Source organism: Homo sapiens, chromosome 7 (genome assembly GCF_000001405.40).
Source record: "Homo sapiens chromosome 7, GRCh38.p14 Primary Assembly".
NCBI lineage: Eukaryota > Metazoa > Chordata > Mammalia > Primates > Hominidae > Homo > Homo sapiens.
The window spans coordinates 148,268,523-148,282,542 of record NC_000007.14 but is presented as its reverse complement, the minus strand read 5'-3'; the positions used below and the strand labels follow the sequence as shown (position 1 = coordinate 148,282,542).

The 14,020-nt window shown below is 42.7% G+C and overlaps 1 protein-coding gene across 1 annotated transcript in view, besides 1 other annotated feature; it reads right to left on the bottom strand.

Annotated features, from left to right (window-relative positions):
* The window catches only part of CNTNAP2 (contactin associated protein 2), a 2,304,198-nt gene that overhangs the window by 138,456 nt on the left and 2,151,722 nt on the right, over window positions 1–14,020 (bottom strand). The window lies entirely within an intron of this gene.
* Window positions 2,232–2,432: a silencer, noted in NCBI's record as "fragment chr7:147977203-147977403 (GRCh37/hg19 assembly coordinates)". NCBI's record gives its function as "represses an EF-1alpha promoter that drives an FKBP-Casp9 reporter gene in an ReSE screen in phorbol 12-myristate 13-acetate-treated (for megakaryocytic differentiation) K562 erythroleukemia cells {active_cell/tissue: K562(+PMA)}" and the evidence as "EXISTENCE:reporter gene assay evidence [ECO:0000049][PMID:32094911]".

The window sequence follows — 14,020 nt, the reverse complement described above, 5'->3', positions numbered from 1 at the left end:
TGGACACTCACTGTGTGCCAGGCTGTGTGATAAGCCCTTTACATTCATGATAGCATCTTTCATCTTCCTAACAAAGCTTATGATATTGGCACTACTATCATTCTCATTTCACGGTTAAGAAAACTGAAGCTGAGATTTGTAAGAAACCTGTTAAAGCTCCTCGAGCAGGTGAGGCAACTGGAATTGCAGGTGTTCTGACACAGAGCCTGTATTGAGCCTGACCCTCAATGTTCAAAATATCCTCTTCCAGCCTACACTTATGACAAGATTTGCCTTTGCAGCTGTTTTATCTAGATATTGAGAGTATGTTTGCAGGTTATGATGTATTAATTATTTATTGTCCTTGTTAAAGACACATTTGGGTGATAAGCAAAGATTATTCTGATATTGACAGTATATTATATTGAAAATATCGTTGAAGGCTGGGTGTGGTGGCTTATGACTGTAATCCCAGAACTTTAGGAGGCCGAGGTGGGTGGATCATGAGGTCAGGAGATCGAGACCATCCTGGCTCATGTGGTAAAACCCTGTCTCTACTAAAAATACAAAAATTAGCCGGGTGTGGTGGTGTGAGCCTGTAGTCTCAGCTACTCACAGGAGAATTGCTTGAACCCGGGAGGTGGAGGTTGCAGTGAGCTGAGATCACGCCATTGCACTCCAACCTGGTGACAGAGTGAGACTCCGTCTCAAAAAAAAAAAAAAAAAAAGGAAACGTTGTGAAGTACCAGCTATGTGACCTTGGCTTCATTTAACCTTTCTGGGCCTCATTTTCCTCAGCTGTAATGTGACAAAGTTTCAACAAATTATTTCTTAGGGCCTCCTATGATTCTATAAGGCAATAATAATAATAAAGCCCAATAAATGTCTAAGAATGAAAGTCAATGCAATTAAAAAAGAATGAGAAGCCAGCCTTGAACTAGAACTCCCTGAGTGAATTCTTTTAAAATAGATTTCCTTCAGCCTTGAGAAGATTCTGGACATTAAGACTACGCTATATGTTCTTTAGGATATGAAAAACAGGACATAATTTCTTCTCTTCAGTTTAAATATTATTTCTCACCTATCACTTCAATGAGCTTTCTCATCAGTGCTTTCCTGCTGCTTCTGTCCTTATAGTAAAACGCAAAGGCAACTGACCAGAAATTTCAATTAACTATTTGCCATTTGTTCATTTATCAATTTTGCTGCATTCTACTCTTAGGAGGTAGAGATAAATCACAAGGCGATAAGCTGCCATCGGGGACTTTCCTTGAGAGAAGTTGCAGGCAGTTTAATCTACCCCATTTTCTCTAGCTCCTTTTTAAAGAAATGTATTATATTAATCATTCTCTTCAATAATGACTCTAAAAGAACTACAAAATTCTAAGCTGTAAATAAATAATAATTCCCACATATTTCCTAATCTCTACTGGCTAGCGCAGGAAAGTAAAGAGGGAATGGGTAGAACCGGTGGCTTAATCGCTGCAGGTCCCTCTCCTGTCCCTCACGCTCCCCCAGGGTGGATGGCACTAGCCCCTAGGAGACACTGACTAAATATCCCATGAATAAATGGCTCCACAGAAGAAGGTGGACTTGGTCTTCTTTTACTTTTATTGCTTTTCCTTTTCTTTTTTCTTTTTTTTTTGAGATGGAGTCTCCCTCTGTTGCCCAGGCTGGAGTCCAGTGGTGTGATCTCTGCTCACTGCAACTTCCGTCTCCTAGGTTCAAGCGATTCTCCTGCCTCAGCCTCCCAAGTAGCTGAGATTACAGGCTCCCGCCATCTTGCCTGGCTAATTTTTGTATTTTTAGTAGAGACGGGGTTTTGCCGTGTTGACTAGGCTGGTCTGAAACTCCTGACCTGAGGCGATCCACCTGCCTCAGCCTTCCAAAGTGCTGGGATTACAAGCATGAGCCACCGTGCCCGGCTTTTTATTGCTTTTTCTAATTGAAACTTTAATTGAGTCCATTGTAGAATCACATGTAGTTGTAAGAAATTGTACAGAGAGATCCCCTGTGTATTTTGCCCAGTTTCCCCATTGGAGACATTTTGCAAATCAGGAGTACAGTGTCACCATCAGGATATTAACATTGATATGATCCAATGATCTTATTTCAGATTTTGTACTCTTGTATGTGTGCAAATGTGATTCTGCACAATTTTATCATCTGTGTAGGTCTGTGCATCCACCACCATAGTCAGGATAATGAATAATTCCCACTGCAGAAGAATCTCTCTTTTTTATTTTTAAATTTTTGAGATGGAGTCTAGCTCTGTCACCTAGATGCAGTACAGTAGCATGATCTTGGCTCACTGCAACTTCTCTGTCTCCCGGGCTCAAGCAATTCTCCTGCCTCAGCCTCCCGAGTAGCTGGGACTACAGGCATGGGCCACCATGCCTGGCTAATTTTTATATTTTTAGTAGAGACAGATTTCACCATGTTGGCCAGGCTGGTCTCGAACTCCTGACCTCAAGTGATCTTCCTGCCTCAGCCTCCCAAAGTGCTGAGATTGCAGGAGTCAGCCACCATGCCCGGCCTCCTTGTTTTCCTTTTCTAACCACACCTCTCTTCCTTCCCCTTCCCTCCTGTCCTAGTCACTAACCCTTGGCACTCACTAATCTGTCCTCAATTGTAAAATTTTGTCATTTCAAAAATGTTGCATAAATGGGATCATTGGGTATGTAACCTTTTGGGACTGGCTTTTTTTCCATTGGCACGATTCTCTAGAGATTCATCCAAGCTGTTTTGTGTATCAGTAATTTGTTCTTCTTCATCATTGCGTTCATATGCAACACCTGAATGACTTTATAATGGAGATATATTCTGACATTTATCAATAGGCTTTTTTCTTTTTTGCCTTTCCCAGTAACGATCAATGTCCTAGTCAAGCCAAGACATCTATCTGCCTGAGGAGGAGATGGGAGATAAAGACAGGAAAAGGCCGTGTTACAGGTGGTGTTCGGTTTCTGATATGCACCTCAGTGCTATGCATCCATGGAATAGCCTTGAATGTGGCTAGAATGGAAGTCTTAATTTTTATTCCACAGTTCCTAAACTACTTCTCTCCCAGGGTACCTCATTGTAGTAGGCAGCCCCACCACTGGGCCAGCTATTCAGGCCAATACCTTGGGAAACGCTCTTTGACTTCTCTTTCTCTCACCCACCACATCCGGTTGATCACCAAATACTATGGGCTCTGACTTCAGTGTGTTCCTAGTCCAAAGATTTCTCCATCACCATCACTGCTGTTGCGTTGGTGCACGTGCCTCTAACTCTCACATGGACTCCACAACTGTATTTGAAATGGTCTCTTAGTGTCCATCCTGCCCCTATATCAGCCCACCCCTTCTGCAGTTAATACAGCATCCCACAGCTGGAATGACCTTTCTAATATGTAAATTGGATTGTGTTACTTATGTGCTCAAAACCTTCTACTGTTTCTCATCTCATTTAGAATAAAATGCAGACTCTCCATGATGGTCTCCATCTGTGCAATTGGCTGCTGGCTAACCCTCTGACTTCATCTGTCTCCTGCCACTCTGTCCCTTGATGGCTGTATTCCAGCCATGTTGGTTTTCTTCCTGTCCTTGAACAAGCCAGGCGTGTCCCTACCTCACAGCCTTTGGACTGCCATTCTCTCTTCCTGGAAGGCTTTTCCAGCAGATGTCCACACAGCCAGCTTTCTCACTTTGTTAAGGCCACTGCTTAAATATTGCCTTCTCAAAGACGACTTTCCTGGCCATTGTAACATGCTTTCCTGCTAAGCCTCTTTTACTTTTCTTCATAGCACTTATTGCTAACATTTATATTACACAACTCTTTTCTCATTCTGTCTATGCTCATGAGAGTACATGGTTCATAAAGATAAGAGATTTCTGTTTTATCCATTGTTCTGTGCCTAGCACCTGGTACATGTGAGCACTGAACATACTTTTGAGTGAATAAAATGATTTCCCCAAGTTCCTTTGCTCAGGCTTTTTTTTTTTTTTTTTTTGAGATGTAGTCTCACTCTGTTGCCCAGGCTGGAGTGCAGTGGCGCGATCTCGGCTTACTGCAAGCTCCACCTCCTGGGTTCACGCCATTCTCCTGCCTCAGCCTCCCGAGTAGCTGGGACTACAGGTGACCACCACCACGCCCGGCTAATTTTTTTTTGTATTTTTTAGTAGCGACAGGGTTTCGCCATGTTAGCCAGGATGGTCACAATCTCCTGACCTCGTGATCTGCCTGCCTCGGCTTTCCAAAGTGCTGGGATTACAGGCGTGAGCCACCGAGCCGGGCCTACTCAGGCTTTTTAGTACATCGAGGAGGTCACAGAGTTCTCCTGCATCCACCTCCTAAGTATGGAAGATGGCATTGGCGGCCCCTAATTCTTTACCCTTCCCTGTATCCGTGGCCTTTGCCATGTGACTTTGCTGTTTTCTTCACTGAAGGGAAAGCAAGTTTCTCTTCTCCTCGACTATGGATTTGGCCACATGACTTAGTTTAGATAATCAGATGTTAGTGGATGTGACAAGACCAAAGGCCTGGAAAGTGCTTGTGTGAGTGGCTTGTTCTCTCGTGTCTCTGCCAGAGAAAAACATGCCCATGCTAACTCCCTGGTCCCAGGAGGAAGACGAGAGGTGTACAAGAGAAACTTCGGCCCTTAGCTGACCCGCAGATTAGTGATAAAAATAGAATTGTTGTTTTAAGCAATTGAGTTTTGGAGCTATTTGTTAGATGGTGCTTTTTTTTTTTGTAGGAAGTAAAAGCAAAGCTTTTTTTCTTTTTTTCTTTTTTCTTTCTTAATGCCCTAGAAGACTATGAGAAAAGGAGGAGATACAGCAGGAGAGACGAGAGCTAAGCTTTGGCCCAGAGAGCAGAAGTGGGTTTCTAAAGGATGACGGATGGGACCAAGGGTTTAGGGCTCTTGCCTTGCTTCCCAGTCTGGGGCTCTGGGGAGAGGTTGCTGTGTAGGGGGTCGGTGGTGGTGGGGGGCGGTCCTGTACTAACATGGGGCAGCCAAGCCTCATGTAGAGAGGGAAGAAGAGTAAGCCGACAGGGTCTCTGGTCCTCACGTGCATCATCTCATTCTCGTGCAGCATGAAGCCTTAGATGAAAGCCCTCACTGCTTGATAGCTGACGACAACCTGCCATGGGGAGACGGAGGATGCGAAAGAGACTTAGGGCTTAGGGGTCTCTCAAGTGGGAGATTGAGGGCACAGCAAGTAAGCAAAGGGCAGGATGGCAGGTGCTCCCTGGGAACACTGCCTGAGTCAAAGAAAGGGACTCTAAGTTCATCAACCACAGATTTAAGCTCCAAGGCCAGAAGAGCACTCAGGGACACAGGACACTGGGCTGGAGGCCAGCAGATGCCTGGCCATGCAAACTCAAGGACCAGCATGCATCCAGGTCTCTCCCTGCCCACGGTATCATTAGAATGCTAAAGCTAGACATGTTGCTGCCTGTCTCCTTTTATATTCTGTACACCTGGTCCCCACCTTATAGAAAGAAGCAGAGGACGGGAAAGGCTCTTCGAGAAACTGAACATTTTTATTCATGAGGGACAGAGCACAACCAGGAAGGAATTTTGAAATGATTAAGTCAGAATCAGCTTTAAACCAGCCTGGATGTTTAGCTTATTTGCCTTTGCTACCCAGAAGGAATACGACATCATCAGACACAGATAAAGACATTGCATTTTCTCCACATATGTGAGCTGCTTTGTGCATTACAATGTGCAATTCTGTGATAACCATGGCAACCTCCAATTTGGTCTCCCTGCAGCTTCTCACTTCCTGTTATGCATTTTGCACTCTGCAGATGGTATTATCTGGCTAAAGTGTCAATCTGATCACGTTATTCTATGGATTAAAAAACATCCTTCCTTGACTTCCTTTAACCCCTAAGATAACATTAAAACCTTAACATGGCTTATAAATAGATCCGTAATATGGCAGATGCTGTCAGTGCCCGGCATTCACCTCAGTCCTGCTCCAGGAACCACTGACTGCGATTCGCTGTCATCTGCACTTTCCTCTGGCCTCAGCAGTGTGTTGGGTGTAAACACGGGACAAGCTGGAAGTGCTGGGGAGTTAGTACCGCAGGAAGCAGCCCTCATCACTGCAGGATGGGAGGAGGTGGCGAGATGCCCTGGCTTCCTCCTGCCTTGGTTGGGACACTCGGAGGCATGTCTCGCACTGTCTTCCAGAGTGTCCTGGTGGGATTATGTTCCAGGTGCCCACAGTGGTGAGTGGCTTGATAATGCTCCATCCCTTTCCCTGTTTCATGTCTCTACTTTCCTGCTTGTTTTATGGGATTGTCTCCCAGGTAAACTTCTTATATTCAAATCGAATTCTGCAGGGTTTCTCCTGGGAACACCCAAATAAGATAGGTGATCATACAACTGCGTAGTCCTATTTTTAGAGTAAAAGTGGGCACTGCTAATAATGTACTCTTGTCCTGGCAGGAGTAGCTTGGGTCTGTCCCAGGCAAAGCAGGACATGTGGCCCTGCTGGTAAAGCCGCCTTTGATCTGAACCCTGCTTATGCTGCAGCATTTTTATCACTTGCATCTTCACATCCGACTTTCCACCATTCTGAATGCAACTTGTGGTTCCTCAAATTTCTCTCATAGCACACTGTGTTTCCAAAGATGTCACAACCGTAACTCCCATGGCATGTTTCTTTGCAATGTGACCTGGCTACGATGCCACCAAGAGGTAGGGTCTGCTTCCTCTCTCTTGGAACATGGGCTGGAACCCAGATTTTGGTCAATAGCATATGGCAAGAATGGTGGCTCTTAGAGACCTTCAGCTTCTACATTTGCTGTTTGGAAAGCTCCTTCTTGGAGCCCAGCCACCATGCCATGAGGTAGCCCAAGCAGCCATGATTTGGAACCCTTGGGGGAGAACTCAGCCCCTGGCTCGTGGCCCCAAAGAGCTCCTGGGCAGCCAGCACTTGCTGCCAGCCACATGAATGAGGCTATTTCGGGCTATCCAGTCATTCTTACACCCTGCCTGGAGTCATGAAGCAGAACAACCACCCTGCCAATCCACAGAATTGCCAGAAATAATAAACTACTGTTTTGAGCCACACAGTTTTGGGTGGACTGCTGTGCAGAATGGAGAACTGACCTCCCCCGCCCTTATGGCCTCTACTTCAGCCCATTGCTTTACCCAGATCATTCTAACTCTTCATTAGGGTCCCAGCTTCTGTGTTACTTCCTCTAGTATGCCTTCCCTCACTCCTGGACTGGCTCAAGTGCCCTCCCTACTTGCTCCCAAAGAATTCTATACTTCTTTTCATTTATCCCACCCTCTTGTCTTTTTACTTCTAATTGACTTTCCATTACCTTCTTTTCCAGAAACTGAAGCTCTAAAGATGTGACCCAGTGCATATTGATACATTGTATGATCCCCTATCTTGCTTTGGGTTCTCCCAAGAGAAACCTCTGAGAACTGGATTTGAATATATAAAGTTTCCAAAGGCAGAAACTGTGCCTGTCTTGGACCCTAATGATGTTCCAGGGACTTATACAATGCCTGGCATCTGACATATGATGAGTATACATTTGCTGATTATGCAAAGTAAAAAACTAATATGTATTACACACATACTATGCAGCAGAGACTGTGCTAACCGCTAAACATGTATTATTTTGCTGAATCCCGTGACACAGAGACCATTACTATTCCTATTTTACACATGACAAAACAGATACACACAATGTTAAGTAACCCGACAAAGTCATACAATCGGCAAATGGTAGAGTAAGAGATTGTATTAGGCTGTTCTTGCACTGCTATAAAGAAACATCTGAGACTGGGTAATTTATAAGGAAAGAGGTTTAATTGGCTCACAGTTCTGCAGGCTTTATAGGAGGCACAGCACTGGCATCTGCTTCTGGGGAGGCCTCAGGAAGCTTATGATTATGGCAGAAGGTGAAGGTGGAGCAGGCAGGGTACATGGCAAAAGCAGGATCCAGAGGAAGAGTGTTGGGGGGAGGTGCTACATACTTAAACATCCAGGTTTTGTGTGAACTCAGAGTGAGAGCTCACTTATCACCAAGGAGATGGCCCAAGCCATTCATGAGGCTTCCACCACCATGATCCAAACACCTCCCACCAGGCCCCACCTCCAACACTGGGGATTACATTTCAACATGAGATTTTGGTGGGGACAAATATCCAAACTATATCAGAGATCAAACCCAAGGGTGCGAGAGCAAAGTCTGCCCTTAAGTCAGTCCTTATGCCTCAGTCAGGACAGGCCAAGGCTCTGCCACAGTAACAAACAGCCCTATAGTCTCGGTGGCTTAACAAAGCAAGGAGTTTTTTTTATCTCATGCTATATGTTCATCACAAGTCAAGAGTTTTCTGTTCACTGTAGTCACAGAGGGACCCAGGCTTACGGAAAAAATCACTGTCTTAGGCTTGTCAGTCACCATGCCAAAGGGATAAAAGGACTCTAGAGGGTCTTGCATGAGCACTTAAATGTTCTAGCCTGGAAATCACACAAATCTTTTCCATTCATAACTCTGGCCAGAAATATTCTGTGAGCAGCATGGTTATCACAGTATATGATTTCACCAACAAATGAAGATCTAAGTATGTCAGTTCCTTCTGTGTGAAGAGGCTTTGCCAAAGCTCCAGAAAGTTTTAGAAAGCCTTAGAATAAGACTTTTTAATCAATAAAAAGTCGTGTAGGATCATGATATTCACAATTTAGATTATAATAGAAATAATATAGGGGCTACTAGCCACTTCTATTGGAATTGCTTTGGATAATGGTAGTTTGGGAAATATGAGGATCTGAGACCAATATGACTTACAAACTCTAGTTAGTTCAAATGGATAGAAGTTCGCTTTATTTTTACCACCCCAGACATCGCCACTGACAACAGCAATGATCAGCCAAGCAACAACGACACTGCATTAGTATTCAGCTTCTTTCTAAGCACAGCTTCTCAAGTTTACACAGAGAAGCTACCGTCTTTTTATTTCAGAATAGATCTACTTCATTACGGTTTTATATTACTCTGATTTACAGCGATGGCAGAAATAGTTAATTTGAAAAACGATTAATTAAAGAGGGCTCAGAAATAAAATTAAAATGCATATTGCCACCTTGGAAACAGGTCGTGTATGTAATTACACAACTCACAGTGATGTGGTGATCGCTGTACATTGATATTCTTCTAAATTCATATCTATCATCATGCATCATAACAGTGTTTTATATCAAGGAACCCTAAATGTTATCCCCCTAGTTGCCAATGGAACAGGAGACCCTGCTCTACTATAATATTGCATTTTCACCTTTTTAATTAAGAAAATTACTCCCACCACAAATCTTAAAGTTTCAAAGTTTATTTAGGCTATATCTAATCTGGTTTTACTCAATCCAGACAACTCCTTAATATACAGGGCACATTTCCGTTTAGCCTTTGTTGAATATTCTCAATAATAGAGAGTTCATTACCTCAAAGTAGAGACCACTCACTTTTGAAAAGCTCTAATTGTTAGGAAGTTCTTTCTTATATGGAGCTGAGATTTTCCTCTTCATATCTTCTGCTTTTGGTCCATGTCAGTCTTGCTGAGTAAGCCTCAACTAAGTCTAATCCACCCTGCATGTGGCAGTTACCAAAGACTGAAAATTGATTCTCTCGTCTCTCAAATCATATTTTTTTCTGATCAGACATTCCCAGGTCTTCTGACATTTCCTTTACGGGTCTTGTGTTTATCTGGTTTTCTCCTCAGATGACTAATACCCTCGCTCTGGACATGATTCTCATACTAGTGTGGCTCAGAATCACATTCATTTAAGAATCCATCACCATGTAACATTGCTTGTACCAGACTTTCCATCAAACCAATTTCCTAAGTTTTTTCATGATGCTGGGGGTCTCCCATCTTCTATTTAGGTGATTGTATATATTTTTTTTATCTAAGTGCTGCAATTAAGTTTATTTCTATTACATTTCATCTTATTATTTTTATCCCATCTTTCTAGCCTGTCAAGATGGTTTTGAAATGCTTTTTATAATCCATCATATTAAACCATCCCTCTCAGCTTCGTGACATTTGCAAACTTAATAAACATGCTACTTGTGTCTTTCTCCAAGGCATTAATAGAGATGTTGAAAAGGACATGAGCAAACAGAACACCCCACTTTCGGCTTCAAGTTATATTTCTCTTCCTTGAAGATTTCTTGAGAGACCATTAAATTTGTTGCTGAAAGATAAAGTCTATGACATCACTCGGCTGGTAAAAGATGGATGGATATGAGGGATGAAAGATGGACATAACTATGTCTAGTGAGATTTCTCCTTTGTGAACCTTTGCTGATTGCTAGTGATTCTGAATTCCTTCTAGAAGCATTCAGAATTATGTAAGAATCCGTTCTAAAAGTTTGCTGTTGGTTGGCAGTGATCACACTACTATTTCTTGAATATATATCCTCCATCCCCTTTATAAAGATCACACTTGTCCTTGATTAGGTAGCCTTTCTTTCATCCTTTTTCTGTGTCCCTTTTTGAGGAGTGCTCATCAAAGAGCTCAGTGTGAAGTCATTTTAGGTATTTAGAGCCATCTTCTTCTCTTTCTTTTATAGAATCAGTTTCTGAGTAGCAGAAACTGATCCTATAAAAGTAAAGCAACAACTTTGGAGCATGAAACTCCAGGGGGTTTCAAAACCTGGCCGGAGTACATATCAGTTGCAAGTTCAATACTGTATGTCTGTACAGATGGATTTTTACACAACTGGGGAATGCAAATGGGTTGTCTCTCACTGAAGTATATGTTGTTTTCAAAGAGACATTTAAGCATATTCCTGCCCCTGTGAAATGATCAAATATCAAAGGAGTATTGGCTTGAAGGGGTGGCCAGTGATTAGCTTCTCAAGCACTTACATGTCTTCTTGGGGTCTTCACTGAGACTCCTTCAATTTTATTAACAGAATTTTAGCTTCAGAGTAGCAAGAACCTCGTCCTTGCTTCCTCACCATTCTGGAAGGTGCAGGTGTCATCAGGAAGCAAAGCATAGGTCTTAGGTCACAAATCACGCTTTTCAAATCTCAGCGTCACCGCTGACTCGCTGAGTAGCTTGAAGCCTGTGGTTTTCAACTGGGGTGGTAATTTTTCCCTCCTGGGGAACATTTAGCAATGTTAGAAGACATTTTTGGTTGTCACAACTTGGGGTGCTACTTATATCTAGTGGGTAAAGGCCAGGGAGAATGCTAAACATTCTGCAATGAACAAGACAGCCCCATAATAAAGAATTTTCTGATCCAAAATGTCAATAGTTCTGCTGTTGGGAAACCCCACTTTAAGAAGAAAACTTAATAGTTTTGAGCCTTAGCTCCTTATTCTATACAACGAGGGTAACAATGGTCTGTGGTGTTGTGAGAAACGCAGACAGTATTGTACTTACAGCATATAGCATAATAACCGGCATGTAGCTAGCATCAAAAATGGTAATTATTTATGTATTAGGCATTGTGTTGTGTATGTCTTAAGACGTTATTAGCTTAATATTAAAAGAGTAGTTCATTTACTCCACAAGTATTTTTTGAGCCCTTTCTGTATACTAGGCACTGATCAGCCTGCTGTAAATAGATTAGTTTCAAAAAAAGTCTCTGCCTTCTGCCCTCAGGGAGTTAACAACCTGCAAGTAGGCATTTGTGTTCCCCATTTTGCAAAGGAGAGAACCTAGGCTCTGAGAGGTTCAACTAAGAAAGCAACATGGTCAAGATTTCAATGCTAACAGAGGTAGAACTGGATTCCAGTCTAACAAGCTCTGCCTGATTCCGAAGTCCACATTCTTTCTACTTCATGATCGTCAGATGCCTACTTTTAGGCTGTGAGATATGTGAGGATTGCAGCTCTCACCTCTGTGCGAATCTTACTGATTCTGTTAGGATGATCATCCATACCCTTTCACCCTGCAGTATACGTCTACAATGATATCTTTCTGTTTCCTTCCCCTTTTACTCTTTATTAATTCAACAAATATTTATTGAGCACTTGCTCCTTGTTAGTATATGGTGGAACTATGAGATGCTTTCTTGGTCTGCAGGGAGGTCACAGGCTTGTAGGGATGAGAGATAATCTCCACTAGAAGTCAGTGCACCAAGGACCCATTGCTGGAGCCCTAACTACTCTCACCTGCATAACACCATTTCCATCTTGGAATTGTGGACCTCCTTACAGGTATTTATGTGTACTTTCTGTAACTCACTGCCACATGCACAGTTACCTAGTTTGTGTATGCAGCAACATTTTTCTTGGGTGTACAAAAAATACAGGGTGTAACCTTCATGTATCTGAGGCTCATGGTACACTTTTAGCTTTGCACAGATTGATGTCAAGGTACATTCTTAGTTGTAGAAAATGTGGCCTTTATGATGTTATTTGTTCACGACCTTGAAGGTCCATGCCATACAGTATATTGGAATTGTGCTGAAATGTGAACTAGTTACATGACCTGGAAAACAGAGGAACCAGAGAATATTACTCATAGTGACAGAACCTAGAAATCATCCAACATTCCCATCAAAATTTGACTTTGCAGGTTCCACAAAGTAATAAAAAGTCTATTATTTTCGGGTATGTTTATAGTTGATGTTACTTTACGAATATCATAGTGTAGTATCTTTAGGAACATCACCATATCATAGTGTAGCGTTTGTTTTGATGGAATCATATGGTTCTGAAGGAGCACTTAACATTTTAAAGTATTCTCAACTGAACCGTGGGAGTACCTCTGGTAGAAAGCGGGTACTCACCAAAGTCTCAGATCCATGACTCATGAATGCCAAGGCCCTACTCCACTAAACAGCCACTTTTTGTTGCTAACTGATGGCATCGCTCAACTTTCAAATACATCCCTCTTCTGGAGCTTCACCATGAATGACAAGATTGTTTGACCCACTTAAGAGTCTGGACTGTCTTCAGAGAGACCTCGCTTCCAAACTCTGCTTTGCCAGTATTAGTTGAGTAACTTTTGTCAAATTGACCTTCTTCTGCTTCAGTTTTCTCATCTGCAAAATGAGGTTCATAATCAGGGATCTCATTTCATTGGATTGTTGTGACGTTTGTTTCTTATATTTACACGTGTAACATGTGATGTCACAAAGTCTCTTCTTGTTCACAGAACATAAAAGTGGTGATAAGATCTGTAAAAATACATCAACTATAGAAAGTGTTGGAGAAAATTCAGATAAGGACATCAGGGTGAGGTAATCCAAAGCTAGATTTGAGACTGTGCCTGAGTGCTGTTTTCAGGATGCAAAGGATTAAGCAGAAGCTATTTAATTATCTTTCATATCGTACAATATCTAAGGCTCAGTGATCAATACATGTTAGCCCTCTTTTGTTTTCCAGTTCCACCCTTTGATTTATCACTTGCCACTCCCCACTGTCTTGTTCACCAGGTGTGTGGTCTTGGGCTTCATGCACACACCTGCTTTCCCCCTCTCTTCTGGATGCCTCCCTCTCCAGCCGGACTGGTGTGTTCCTGGTTCTAAACCCAGGAATCCTTTTTGTTCTTGACCACTTCCTGGCACAAGATATAGGCTTTATCCCTTACCTGGACAGCCTCAGCATTTATCACCTGCCCAATCTTTCCTCTCTGTCTTTCTCTTTGCATTCTAGATTAACTGCCACAGGGATTACAGCACAGTAAAGAGCTCCCTTGGTGTCTGATTGCCTGAGTTCAAATTTTGGTTCTGCCACTGATTAGCCAGGTGGCCCGGTTATTTAATCTCTTCATGGTTCAGTTTTCTCATCTAAAAAGTGGAGATCATAATCTTAACTACCTCATACAATTGTGACGAAGATTGAATGGGCTAATATCTGTCAAGTGCTTAAACTGGAGCCTGGCCTACAGTAAATCTTACATAAGTGCACATTATTATTATTATTATTATTATTAAGACAGAGTCTCCCTCTGTCGCCCAGGCTGGGGTGCAGTGGCGTGATCTCGGCTCACTGTAAGCTCCGCCTCCCGGGTTCACGCCATTCTCCTGCCTCAGCCTCCCAAGTAGCTGGGACTACAGACGCCCA